This window comes from Homo sapiens, chromosome 1 (genome assembly GCF_000001405.40).
Source record: "Homo sapiens chromosome 1, GRCh38.p14 Primary Assembly".
Classification (NCBI taxonomy): Eukaryota; Metazoa; Chordata; class Mammalia; order Primates; family Hominidae; genus Homo; species Homo sapiens.
The window spans coordinates 197,198,617-197,212,468 of NC_000001.11; the positions used below are offsets into that span (position 1 = coordinate 197,198,617).

At 38.6% G+C, this 13,852-nt stretch overlaps 2 protein-coding genes across 7 annotated transcripts in view, besides 2 other annotated features; one reads left to right on the top strand and one right to left on the bottom strand.

The window, feature by feature from the left end:
• Positions 1-2,677, bottom strand: part of ZBTB41 (zinc finger and BTB domain containing 41) — a 47,612-nt gene extending 44,935 nt beyond the window's left edge. For 4 of the 5 annotated variants that reach the window (NR_135153.2, NM_194314.3, XM_011509507.4 and 1 more), the window contains exons 1-2: positions 2,607-2,677; positions 738-1,974 (exon numbers count right to left, since the gene is read on the bottom strand). Coding sequence is in view for 4 of the 5 variants with exons in the window: in NM_194314.3 (NP_919290.2) it covers positions 738-1,857 (1,120 nt within the window). In the remaining variant the exon portion in view is untranslated. Of the gene's footprint in view, positions 1-737; positions 1,975-2,095 lie in introns of all 5 variants that reach the window. The other variant, XM_047419671.1, reaches the window with a different exon arrangement.
• Positions 2,424-3,009: an enhancer, noted in NCBI's record as "H3K27ac hESC enhancer chr1:197170170-197170755 (GRCh37/hg19 assembly coordinates)". NCBI's record gives its function as "activates a minimal SCP1, AML or CMV promoter by ChIP-STARR-seq in primed H9 embryonic stem cells {active_cell/tissue: H9 hESC(primed)}" and the evidence as "EXISTENCE:reporter gene assay evidence [ECO:0000049][PMID:30033119]".
• Positions 2,624-2,733: a silencer, noted in NCBI's record as "silent region_1660". NCBI's record gives its function as "represses an Ori minimal core promoter by ATAC-STARR-seq in GM12878 lymphoblastoid cells {active_cell/tissue: GM12878}" and the evidence as "EXISTENCE:reporter gene assay evidence [ECO:0000049][PMID:35858748]".
• CRB1 (crumbs cell polarity complex component 1) overlaps positions 2,888-13,852 on the top strand; it is a 276,952-nt gene continuing 265,987 nt past the window's right edge. For both annotated transcript variants that reach the window (NM_001257965.2, XM_047416573.1), the window contains exon 1: positions 2,888-2,972. The gene's annotated coding sequence lies outside the window, so the exon portion shown is untranslated. The remainder of the gene's footprint in view (positions 2,973-13,852) is intronic.

The window sequence follows — 13,852 nt, forward strand, 5'->3', positions numbered from 1 at the left end:
ATCTTACCTAGCAAATATTAGACAACTTGAAATTAAACATGTACTGACATAAAACTTAAAGTGATAGACTACATTTCCTCAAATTCTTTTCTAAAAGAAAAAAAGTTGATGTATTCATTATTATAACAACCAAAGCTTCTTGGCCTTTTGGCTAAAGTCACATGTATAATATAACCAGAGTGCTACTAACTAGGATACTACCTAAAGTCTCTATCTACAGTATTAAATTACATTCATTTCAATTTTATCCTTCACCATAGTTTAATATAAAACATCCCCTTTCTATTAAATAGTGCTAGATACTGGAAAAGTGACAACATTTATAACTCATATATTACCATGCACGGGGAAAACAGTATACACATTATTAAATCTAATATAATCCACTTTTTTAATGAGTTAAAAATAGTATTTATCACTGGAATTAAACCGGCATATAAATCAAAGCTCTACATGATAATTATTGACACTCTGGAGTCTTTCATAGCAAATACATGATCTAATGATGTGTCACTGGGAGATGAAGAAAAGTAAAGGCTAATATAAATACTTAAATTAATTCCTGAATCACAACAACTTTAAAGTAACAGGATAAACACTATTGAAAACCAAGGTATTCTCCCTACTTAAACAGTCTTTTTAGAAGTTACTTTCCAAGTTTAGTTTTTATTTATCACCTTTAAAATATCCAAGAAAAGTAAGTGATTAGAGATAGAAAACCAGTTTTCTTTTCTTACCTATTCGGTCAAATGTTTTATCACATTTAGGACACTGCAATATTTTTTTGTTGCTGTTCTGAATGACCACTGGAGTTAACCCCTCATGAACATTTCCTACAGAATCACCAGCCTCAGGTTCTTCTTCTGCATCATTATGATCCTTTTCACTTTGTTCTTCAATGTCAGAGTACTCATCTGACATCTCCTCCTCTAGCTCATCTTCTTCAGCATTATATTCACTTCCAGGGTCCTCAGAATCATTTCTATCTGACTTTTCCTTATCAAAATTTTCTTGATTCAAATTGTCTGACCCATCACCACTTTCCTGTTCATCATCGCTGGTGTCATCAAACTTAACAGGGCACTTCCGATTCCTTTTTGATCTTCTTGCGGAGAAACTTCTCTCCAGCATTTTTAACCCATGTTTTTTCCCTAATAAAAGGGACCTATGGGTTTTAGCCAAATGATTCTCTAAAGACTTTTTATAACAAAAATGTCTACTACAGAATTTGCACTGATGATTATTTGATAGTCTTCCAGTTAATTCATTTAGTGTTTCTTCTGGTGATGACTTTTCAGTTAGCTCTGAATGAAAAGGGGCAACATTTTCGTTATTTAACAACTTCACTGCATCTATAATGTCCAAAAATTTTGCAGCCTCTAAAACAAGAGGTATTTCATATTTGTACACAAAAAATTCTGATGTGTAAAGAAATTCAAGCAAATGCTGAAAAACTGAATGTGTTACGTGATCCAGGGTGACAACATCAGTGCTTGGATTTTTGCTCAAACACGCATGAAAATAACTACTGCCGACAGCAACGACTACTTTATGTGCACTAAATTCTTTTCCTTCCACTATGATAAGTAAATCACAAAAAGATGGTTGCTTCTGCCTATCATCATTTAAATATTTTAGCAAATTCTTATTATACTGCAAAGAACTTAAAAGCTTTCTCTGATCTGGAGAGGGAGGAAGTTCCTGGTAACAGTGAAGAGCTTCAGGAGTTGGTCTTCCTGCAGAATGAGTATAGGTCACTTGGTCACACTCCACTGCAACATTTCCTTCTGAAGAATCTTTATGATAGCCTAGATGGATCTTCTCAAGATTTGAAGTAACCTTTCTCCTCTTCTTCATTGCAGTACAGCAATTTCAGAACAAGAAACTTCATAAGTGTCTTAAGTGATTTATAAAGGAAAACTAGATTGTCTTGGATAACAGCTTCTGAAGGGGCGTGCCCAAGGGTTTCATGGTCTGCAAAAGAGTGAGAACCACGTAAAATAACTCCATGGCAAAGCAATGCTAAATCAGCCAACGGCAATCATCAACGAATTCTTTCTAATTATAACTGAATGATGATAAAATCACAGCTTACACTCATTCGTGGCAAAGATTTTGGGGCGGAGAACAAGGAGGGCCGGGTTTAGAAAAGGCAGCCAACAAAAGAATAATTTTAAAGGAACCCAGGCACACCTTCCAGGCCTGATTCACGAACAGGGTGAAAATACCCGGGCAGAAAGGGGAGAGATCTTCCAAGATCGTTGACGGTGCGGGTTGAGGAGGCTGAAGTCGTGGTTTAGGGGTGCTGGGATGGTGACAATAAGGCCGTGGCGGCCGCGAGATCCGAGTCTCTCCATTAACATGCTTTCCTCGGGCGGGCAAGGCACAGCTCTTCAGGAATAGAGAGCGTCCCTCAGCCAAAGCCACCCGGTGAGAGACGGCCCCAGGAGGGGCGCAGAGCAGAAGTGGGGTCAACCAGAGGGACGACTAAAGGAAGCAGAAGAGCTTTCCCAGGCCCGGGCAAGGCGGAGAATGCGCTTGTAGTCGGCGATCCCGCTACCCTTCCCACCCAGTTTCCCTGGGAAAACGCCCCACAGATCCATTACCGGGAACCCAAGGCTCCCCCGCTGGCTCCCAGCAGCTGAGCTCCACTCTGGGCGCGCTCGCTCCTGCGCCTACCCACTTCCGGGTTCAGCCCCCCACCTCACCACCCCCTCCCCTCCCTCCGCTCCTTCCCCTCCCAGAGCTCCGCCGCCTCCGCAGCCAACGAACACGTCAACCGCTCGCGCAGCCTCCAAGCCCTCCTGAGAGAGACCGGCGCGCGACCCTGCGCGAACGAGTGCGCATGTGCGCGCACGCCGCTTTACGCATGCTCCTTAAGTTCCCCGTACTCCCTCGGAGACCCTAGCTACACGCCGAATCCGTTACTCCGGGTTTTCGCAGTGGCTCGGTGGCCTACCCCGATCGAAACCGTGAGGCTTTTGCTGAGGGAGGGCAATGGGAGAGGGGAGGATGGACGCAGAGTTTAGAAGTAGTTTGCCGAGGTGCAGTCGCACGAATGGATTTCATCCTCACTGGTGTATTTAATAGTTTGTAATCTACCAAACAGCAACTGCCAGAAGCCAGTCCCAGCTAACCTACTGGCGTGCACGAAAGAACCCAGCGATGCTGATCTCGTTTCGTTATTTTTCTGACTTAAACGGTTAAATCTAAACGCGATTACTAAGAAAAAAAATTTTATACCTATCATTGTACACAGAAAAAAAATAGAAAAATGTTTATATAAGCGTAAAGCTGGTAGGACAGGAAAGGAAGCCGAAACAAAAAGTAAAGAAAAATCCACAAGGACAACTTTTGGAGCTAGTGCCTGAGATTTTGGATTTCTGAGTCCCAGGAGGTGCTGATATCATTTATCTGCGGACTCGTATTATGAAGCGCAAGGTCCTAGAGCGTGTGATTTTACAGGCATAAGGAATATAAGATGAAGGCTGAGACAAAATAGGATGGGTGGCCTAATTTTCTTCCCCCACCCTCTCGTCCCTCCCATACACATACAACCTGACAACTAAAAGGGCCGCACTCCATGGAAGAACTCCTGCAGAGTTGGACTCCCCACCGGCAAACAGGAGGAGGCTATGAAGAAACTTGCCTGTCTCCGATTTTCTTGGGAATTGAAAAAATAAAATTTTTAAGCCTTTCATGAAAATTCCTAGCAAAAACTCACATTCACATGGATTTGCACAAAGATTCATATCACCTGTGAGACTCATCCCACAAAAACTAGCCACACTGAAAAGAGAGAAAAATGTAAAACCAAGATAGAAAAAGGATGGTAGTCTGCAGATATTGCAATTATCAGAAACAAGTATATTTAAAGAAATGAAGGGAAATGAAAAAATTATCAAAAATAACTAAGCAGATTAAAAGAATAATTTAGAAGTGAAAGCTATCATTATCTTAGTACTTAGAACGTTGATGGAAATGTGTTTTTATTAAAACAGAAGGGCTGATCCAAGATAGAAAAATATAAATCCAAAGAAATAGAAAAAATTCTGATAAGAGCAAATAATGAAATAGTGAAATATACAATAAAGAGAACCAATAGACCAAAAATTTGGGTGTTGGGATATGTAAAAGGTTTAGAAACTTTTGGAAAGATTTGATATTGCCAGTTTTACCCAACTCTTCAAAAAATTTAAAATGGGTGGCAGGGGCAGGTCACATCTCATGAGACAAGCATAATGATTATACCCAAACTTGAAAATACGTTGCAGGAAATGAACATTATAGGTCAAACTCATAAAATTAGGTGCAAAAATCGTAGACCTACAAGTGATGTCTTTGTGGTGTGTGTGTGTGTGTGTGTCTGTGTGTGTGTGTGTGACGGAGAGAGAGAGAGATACAACTGAATTGGATTTAATAAAGGAATGAAAGATTTAGTTAGCATTTAAAAATAAACGTGTAATTCTTCGTATTAACAGAATGAAAGATGAAAACCATTGATCATCTCAATAGATGCAGAAAAATATTTGATAAATTTAACACATGATTTTTTAAAAATCTCAAGCAAGGATTAGAAAATGGCTTAATATAAATAGAAGCTACTGAAAAATTTTTAAATGGAGCAAATATCACACTTAATGAAAGATTGAAAACTTCCACGGAATTTGAGAATAAACCAAGTATGCTTTCTATCATTACTTGACTTTTTTTTTCTTTTTTTGAGACAGTCTCGCTCTGTCACCCAGGCTGGAGTGCAGTGGTGCTATCTTGGCTCACTGCAACCTCCGCTTCCCGGGTTTAAGCAATTCTCCTGCCTCAGCCTCAGCCTCCCGAGTAGTGTGACTACAGGCGCATGCTACCACACCGGGCTAATTTTTGTATTTTTAGTAGAGAGGGGCTTTCATTATGTTGGCCAGGCTGGTCTTGAACTCCTGACCTCAGGTGATCCACCCGCCTTGGCCTCCCAAAGAGCTGGGATTATAGGTGTGAGCCATGGCGACTGGCCTACTTGACATTTTAATAGAGGCCTTACCTAGGAGAAATAAGCATAAGTAAGAAATAGAATGTATAAGTTTTGGAAAGGAAGACTAAAATTAATCATTATATGTTTTAAGTATGTTGGTGCCATATTTAGATATTTAGAAAAAATGGTTTTAAATCCTATGGATTAATTACTTTTGACTTTTTAATTTCAATATGTTTAGGGGAACAGGTGGTATTTGGTTACGTGAATAAGTTCTTTAGTGGTGATTTCTGAGATTTTGGTGCACCCATCATCCAAGTAGTACACACTATACCTAATGTGTAGCCTTTTATCCCTCACCCCCCTCCCACCCTTTCCCTGAATCCCCAGAGTCCATTGTATTATTCTTATGCCTTTGCATCCTCATAGTTTAGCTCCCACTTATGAGTGAGAACATATGATATTTGGTTTTCCATTCCTGAGTTACTTCACTTAGAATAATAGTCTCCAATCCATGTTGCTGTGAATGCCATTATTTTGTTCCTTTTTATAGCTGAGTAGTAATCCATAATATATATGTATACTACAATTTCTTTATCTGCTCATTGATTGATGGGCACTTGGGCTGGTTCCATATTTTTGCAATTGCAAATTGTGCTGCTACAAGCCTGCGTGTGCAAATATATTTTTCGTATAATGACTTCTTTTCCTCTGGGTAGATCCCCAGGAGTGGGATTGCTGGATTAACTGGTAGTTCTTTAAGGAATCTCCTCCGCTTTTCCATAGCGGTTGTACTAGTTCACATTCCCACCAGTAGTGTAAAAGTGTTCCCTTTTCACCATGTCCCAGCCAACATCTATTATTTTTTGATTTTTTTATTATGGCCATTCTTGCAGGATTAAGGTGGTATCACATTGTGCTTTTGATTTTTATTTCCCTGATCATTAGTGATGTTGAGCATTTTTTCATATGTTTGTTGGCCATTTGTATATCTTCTTTTGAGGATTATCTATTCATGTCTGTAGCCCACTTTTTGATGGAATTTTTTTTCTTACCAATTTGTTTGAGTTCCTTGTAGATTCTGGATATTAGTCCTTCATCAGATGTAGAGATTTCGAAGATTTTCTCCCACTCTGCGGGTTGTCTGTATACTCTGCTGATTGTTTCTTTTGCTGTGCAGAAAATTGTAGTTTAATTAAACCCCATCTATTTATCTTTGTTTTTGTTGCATTTGCTTTTGGGTTCTTGGTCATGAAGTCTTTGCCTAAGCCAATGTCTATAAGAGTTTTTCCAATGTTATCTTCTAGAATTTTTATGGTTTCACGTCTTAGATTTAAGTCTTTGATCCATCTTGAGTTAATTTTTTTATAAGGTGAGAGATGAGGATCACCTCCTTGGTTAGGTGTATTCCTAAGAATTTTATTTTATTTTTTTGCAGCTATTGTAAAAGGGTTTGAGTTACTGATTTGATTCTCAGCTTGGACGCTGTTGGTGTATAGCAAAGCTACTGATTTGTGTACATTAATTTTATATCCTAAAACTTTGCTTAATTCATTTATCAATTCTAGGAGCTTTTTGGAGTAATGTGTAGGGTTTTCTAGGTATCATATCATCAGCAAGCAGCAACAGTTTGACTTCTTCACTGATTTGGATGTCCTTTATTTCTCGTCTGATTGTTCTGGCTCAGACTTCCAGTACTGTGTTGAATAGAAGTGGTGAGAGTGGGCATCGTTATTTTGTTCCAGTTCTCAGGGGGAATGCTTTCAACTTTTCCCCATTCAATATAATGTTGGCTGTGAATTTGTCATAGACAGCTTTTATTATGTTAAGGTATGTCCCTTCTATGCCGATTTTGCTGAAGGTTTCAATCATAAAGGGATGCTGGATTTTGTAAAATGCATTTTCTGTGTCTATTAAGATGATCATGTGACTTTTGTTTTGAATTCTGTTTATGTGGTGTATCACATTTATTGACTTGCGTATGTTAAACCATCCCTGCATCTCTGGTATGAAACCCATTGGATCATGGTGGATTATCTTTTCCATATGCTGTTGGATTTGGTTAACTAGTATTTTGTTGAGGATTTTTGCATCTGTTTTCATCAGGGATATTGATCTGTAGTGTTCTTTTTCTGTTATATCCTTTCCTGGTTTTGGTATTAGGGTGATACTGGCTTCATAGAATTATTTAGGGAGGATTCCCTCTTTCTCTGTCTTGTGGAATAATGTCAATAGGATTGGTACCAATTTCTCATTCAATGTCTGATAGAATTCAGCTGCGAATCCATCTGGTCCTGGACTTTTTTTTTTTTTTTGTAGGCAGTTTTTAAATTACCGTTTCAATTTCACTACTTGTTATTGGTCCCTTCAGAGTTTCTAATTCTTCCTGGTTTTAACTGGGAGGGTTGTACATTTCCAGGTATTTATCCATCTCCTCTAGGTTTTCTAGTTTATGCACATAAAGATGTACACAGTAGCCTTCAATGATCTTTTGTATTTCTGTGGTATCAGCTGTAATATCTCCCATTTCATTTCTAATTGTGCTTAATTTGATCTTCTCCTTTTTCTTGTTTAACCTCCTCACTAGTGGTCTATCAATTTTATTCATCTTTTCAAAGAACCAGCTTTTTGTTTTATTTATCTTTTGTATTTTTTTGTTTCAATATCATTTAGTTCTGCTCTGATCTTTGTTACTTCTTTTCTTCTGCTGGGTTTAGGTTTGGTTTGTTCTTGTTTCTTTAGTTCCTTGAGATGTGACCATAGATTGTCTATTTGTGCTCTTTCAGACTTTTTGATGTAGGCATTTAAGGCTATGAACTTTCCTTTTAGCACTGCTTTTGCTGTATCCCAGAGGTTTTGATAGGTTGTGTCACTGTTATTGTTCAGTTCAGAGAATTTTTAAATTTCTATCTTGATTTCATTGTTGACCCAATGATCATTCAGGAGCAAGTTATTTAATTTCCATGGTTTTGAGGGTTTCTTTTGGAGTTGATTTCTAATTTTATTTCACTGTGATCTGAAAGAGTACTTTTATAATTTCAGTTTTCTTAAATTTATTGAGACTCATTTTGTGGCCTATCATATGGTCTGTCTTGGAGAATGTACCATGTGCTGATGATATATTCTGTAGTTGTTGGGTAGAATGTTCTGTAAATATCTTTTAAGTCCATTTGTTCTAAAGTATAGTTTAAATCCATTTTTTCTTTGTTTAATTTCTGTCTTGATAACCTGTCTAGTGCTGTCAGTGGAGTATTGAAGTCCCCCAATATTACTGTGTTGCCATCTATCTCATTTCTTAGGTCTAGTAGTAATTGTTTTGTAAATGTAGAAGCTCCAGTATTAGGTGTATGTATATTTAGGACTGTGATATTTTCCTGTTGGACAAGGCCTTTTATCATTATATAATTTCCCTCTTTGTCTTTTTTAACTGCTGTTGCTTTAAAGTTTGTTTTGTCTGATATATGAATAGCTATTCCTCCTTGCTTTTGGTGTCCATTTGCATGGAATATCTTTTTCCAGCCCTTCCTTATATGTTGAGTCTCTTGAAGACAGCAAACACTTGGTTGGTGAATTCTTATCCATTCTGCCATTCTGTATCTTTTAAGTGGAGCATTTTGGCCGTTTACATTCAACATTACTATTGAGATGTGAGGTACTATTCTATTCATTGTGCTATTTGTTGCCTGAATACCTTGCCTTTTTTTTTTCATTGGGTTTTTATTTTATAGGTACTGTGAGATTTATGTTTTAAGGAGGTTTTATTTTGGTGTATTTTGAGGATTTGTTCCAAGATTTAGAGCTCTTTTTAGCAGTTCTTGTAGTGCTTGGTAGTGGTGAATTCTCTCAGCATTTGTTAGCCTGAAAAAAGACTGTATCTTTCCTTCAGTTATGAACCTTAGTTTTGCTGGATACAAAATTCTTGGCTGATAATTATTTTGTTTAAGGAGGGCAAAGATAGGGCCCCAATCTCCTCTAGCTTATAGGGTTTCTGCTGAGAAATCTGCTGTTATTCTGATAGGTTTTCCTTCATGGGTTACCTGATACTTTTGCCTCATGGCTCTTAAGATTCTTTCCTTCATCTAGACTTTAGATAACTTTATGACTATGTGCCTAGGTGATTATCTTTTTGCAATAAATTTCCCAGGTGTTCTTTGAGCTTCTTGTATTTGGATGTTTATGTCCCTAGCAAAACTGGGGAAATTTTTTTTCGATTAGTCCCTTAAATGTGTTTTCCAAACTTTTAGATTTCTCTTCTTCCTTAGGAACACCAGTTATTCCTAGGTTTGGTCATTTAACATAATCCCAAACTTCTTGGAGGCTATGCTCTTTTTTTAAATTATTTTTTCTTTGTTTTGGTTGGATTGAGTTAATTCAAAAGCCTTGTCTTTGAGCTCTGAATTTCTTTCTTCTACCTGTTCAATTCTATTGCTGAGATTTTCCAGTGTATTTTGCATTTCTCTAAGTATGTCCTTCATTTCCAGAAGTTGTGATTTTTTTTTAATTTATACTATCTATTTCACTGAAGATTGTTCCCTTCATATCTTGTATCTGTTTTTATAATTCACTAAGTTGGACTTCACCTTTCTCTGGTACCTCCTTGATTACTTAATAATCAACTTTCTGAATTCTTTTTCTGGCAATTCAGAGTTTTCTTCTTGGTTTGGATCCATTGATGTTGAGCTAGTGTGATCTTTTTGTGTTGTTAAAGAACCTTGTTTTGCCATATTACCAGAATTGTTTTTCTGGTTACTTCTCTTTTGGGTAGACTATGTTAGAGAGAAGATCTGGGGCTCAAGGGCTGCTATTCAGATTCCTCCATCCCATGGAGTGCTCCCTTATTGTGGTGCTCTCCCCCTTCCCCTAGGTATGTGGTTTCCTCAGAGCCAAACTGCAATGATTTTTATTTTTCTTCTGGATGTAGCCACCCAGTGGAGCTACCAGGCTCCAGAAGTGTCTGCGCAGAGTCCTGTGATGTGAACTGTCTTCAGGTTTCTCAGTTGTGGATACCAGCTCCTGCTCTGGTGTAGGTAGCAGGGGAGTGAAGTGGACTCTGTGAGGGTACTTGGTTGTATTTTTATTAAATGTTCTGGTTTTCTGTTGGTTGGCCTCTAGCCAGGAGGTGATGCTTTCAAGACCACATCACCTCCGGTTGTGTGGGAAGGATACAAACTTGCCCTAGGCTCAGGCATTAGATGAGCCATAGAGCTCCCAAAGAACTATGTGCATTGTCTTTGGCTACCAGGGCAGGTAGAGAAAGACCATCAGGTGGGGGTAGGGTTAGGTGCGTCTGAGCTCAGACTCTCCTTGGTCAGTGTTTGCTGTGGCTGCTGTAGGGATGGGGGTGTGGTTCTCAGGCCAATGGAGTTACGTTCCCAGGGGAATTATGGCTGCCTCTGCTGCATGTAGGTCACCAAGAAAGTGAGAGAAAGCTGGCACTTACAGACCTCACCCCGCTCCCACACAGCCCAAAAGGCCAGTCTCACTTCCATCATGCCCTGCCAACAGCATCAAGTTTATTTCCAGATGGCATGTGAGCAGGGCTGAGAACTTACCCTAGGCTACTAGCCTCCCAACTGAGAAAGCAAGCACAGCTTTCAGGTTTCATGCCTCCCCACATGCCTCAGCTTCTGTGCTGTGTCTGCACTCCCGATTTGCTCCCTCTCCCAGGTTCTGTCCAGAAACTTTGCATTCAATCAAAATTGTTCAGCTGGAAGTTTCCTTCTCTTGCCATTTTTGTTTTGTTTTTGTTTTTGTTTTGTTTTGTTTTGTTTTGTTTTTTTGAGATGGAGTCTCGCTCTGTTGCCCAGGCTGGAGTTCAGTGGTGGCGATCTTGGCTCACTGCAACCTCCACCTCCCAGGCTCAAGCAGTTCTCCTGCCTTAGCCTCCTGAGTAGCTGGGACTACAGGCGAGTGCCACCATGCCTGGCTAATTTTTTTGTATTTTTAGTAAGGACAGGGTTTCCCCATGTTGGCCAGGCTAGTCTTGAACTTCTTACCTCAGGTTGTATGCCTGCCTCAGCCTCCCAAAGTGCTGGGATTACAGGTGTGAGCCACAACACCTGGCCTCTCCTGCGGTCTTTTCCCAGTTCCCCTGGCAGCCCTTTCCAAAAACCCGTGTGAGACAAAGTCAGAAATGGCTTCCCTGGGGACCAAGAATGCGCATAGGGCTCTTCTTGCTGCGTCTTCTACTCCTGTATTTCGCTCAGCTCTCTAAATTTGTCTCAGCTCCAGGTAAGTCCAAATCCTTCCCCTGTGATCTGGACCTTCAGGTTCCCCAGTGGGGGTATGTATTTGGAGGCAGATGATCCCCCTTTTACACATTCACACTTTGGGCATTCACAGTTTTTCCACTGTATCCCAGGGCAGCTATCTGCTTCTTTCAAAGGGTCTGTGAATTATCTCAGCTTTCCTGGTATGTTCCTATGGTAGTTCTTGGAGTAAAAGTTCACAATGTGAGCCTCCACACACTGCTCTGTCCATCCAAGTGGGAGCTGCAAGTTAGTCCTGCCCCCTATTCACCATTTTTTCCCTATGGAGAAATTATTAGTTAATGAAGTTGCAGGATGTAACATTGAAGTACAAAATAAAATAGTATTTACCAGTAACAACTGTGATGGTTCATTTTATTTGTCAACTTGGCTAGGCTGTGGTGCCCAATTATGTGGTCAAACACCCTGAGGATGTTGCTGTGGAGGGGTGTTTTATATGTGATTAACAGGCAAATAAGTAGACTTTGAGTAAAGAAAATTACCCTCCATAATGTGGTAGGCCTCATTCAATCAGTTGAAGGCCTTAAGAGCAAGGACAGTTTTCATGAAGAAAAAGAAATTATCTCCAGGAATTCAAGGTAGAAACCCTAACTGAGTTTTCAGCTTGCTGTCCTGCGGAATTCAGTCTCAAGACTGAAACATCATCTCTTACCAGGATTTCCCATCTGTGGACCTGTCCCACAGATTTCAGACTGGCCAGCCCCCACAATCATGTGAGCCAATTCCTTCCAGTCAGTCAAACAATCAGTCTACCTATCTAAGAGCCTATTGCTTCTGCTTGTCTGGAAAACCATGACTAATACACCAGCAATGAAAATTAAGAAAATAAAACTTGAAAACAATGTCATATGATTTCTTCATTCATGTAGTACCAACATCCATGTCTCTAAGATGCCAAAAGTTTTTGTCAGAGAAAGTAACAGGTGGGACAAGGGCCCATAAGAGAGAGTATAGTCTGCAGAAGGCCAAGAAAGAAAGGAGAGCTACACACTCTAGAATCTCTTTCCAGTGTCTTCCTTTTGCTGATCTCTCATGGCCTTAACATCTTTAACAAGCTGTTTCACAAGTTTATTTCTAAAGATGAAAATGTTTTTCTTCATTTATTCAATAGAATATATATTGAACAAATACTTTGTACCAGAAATATAACATTTTAAATAAGCTTAATCATAAACGGATGTTTTTCAGTAGCATCACAAACGTAAAATACCTGGAAGTGAAGCTAATGAATTATGTTCAACATTTATACACAATTCTCTATGACAGGGGCTGGAAAACTTTTTTATAAGAAGCAAATATGAAATATTTTAGTGTTTATCCCACTTTCTTCTGCATTCTAACAACACGTTAAAACCGTAAAAATTATTTTGTGAACCACACCAAATAAACCACAGGTTGGATTTGGCATACCAACAGCCATTGTTTCCTAACCACCACCTCTAAAACAGACTTCCGAGAAATTAAAGAAGACTTAATAATTGAAGAAATGTGCTTCCTTAGTCTGTGCCACTGTAATAAGACATCACAGATTGGGTAACTTATATACAATAGAAATTTATTTCTCACAGTTCTGAAGTCTGGGAAGTCCAAGATCAAGGGGCCAGCATTCAGTGTCTGGTAAGGGCTTTCTTGCTGTGTCCTCACATGGCAGAAGAGGTGAATACACCACATGAATACTGTGTGCTCATGTGGCAGAAGGCAGAAGGCCTAAGCTAGTTACTTCTGGTCCTTTTATTATAAGGTGGAGCTCTCATGAAAATCACTTCCCAAAATGCCTTGCCTCTTAATGCCACCACAAAGGGGATTAGGTTTTAGCTTATAAAATTTGGGGGTTATTTCAGACAATAATATGCCATATTCATAAAGTGGAAAAATCCATATTATGAATATGTTAATTTTTATCAAATTAATCTATAGAATTAAAGAATCAACAAATTGAAATGCATCAATATTAAAATTTTTTTTTCAAAAGACAATGTTAAGAAAATAAAAAAGCAGGCCACACATTGGTGAAAGACATTTGGCAAGCATATATCTGGCAAAGAACTTACATCTAGAATATAAAAAGAACTCTTAACTAATCAATGAGACGAAACATATATACTAATATAAAATGAAAAAAATATTTAAGTAGATACTTCATGAAAGAAGATGAGCACAGGGAAAGATCTTTTTTATCTTTAATTTGCATTTTAAGGAAGATGCAAATTAAAACCACAATGAGATACCACTATACATCCATTAGAATAACCGAAAGTATAAAGACAAACAATATCAAGTGTTTATGAGGACATAGATAAACTGAAAATCTCATACACTTCTTGTGGGAATGTAAACTGGTATAGCACTTTGGAAAATAGTTGAGCAATTTCCAAAAACATTGAATTTGCACATACCATACAAACTAACCATTCCATCCTTATCCAAGAGAAATAAAAGTGTATATCTATATAGTCTTATATACACAAAAGATCATGACAGATTTACTTGTAATAGCCAAACACTGGAAACAACCCAAACCTCCAAAAACCGATAAATGGATAAATAATTTGTGTGTTTGTATAATAAAATACTACTACTACCACACAAATAATAGAGCAAATTGATGATAAAAGCA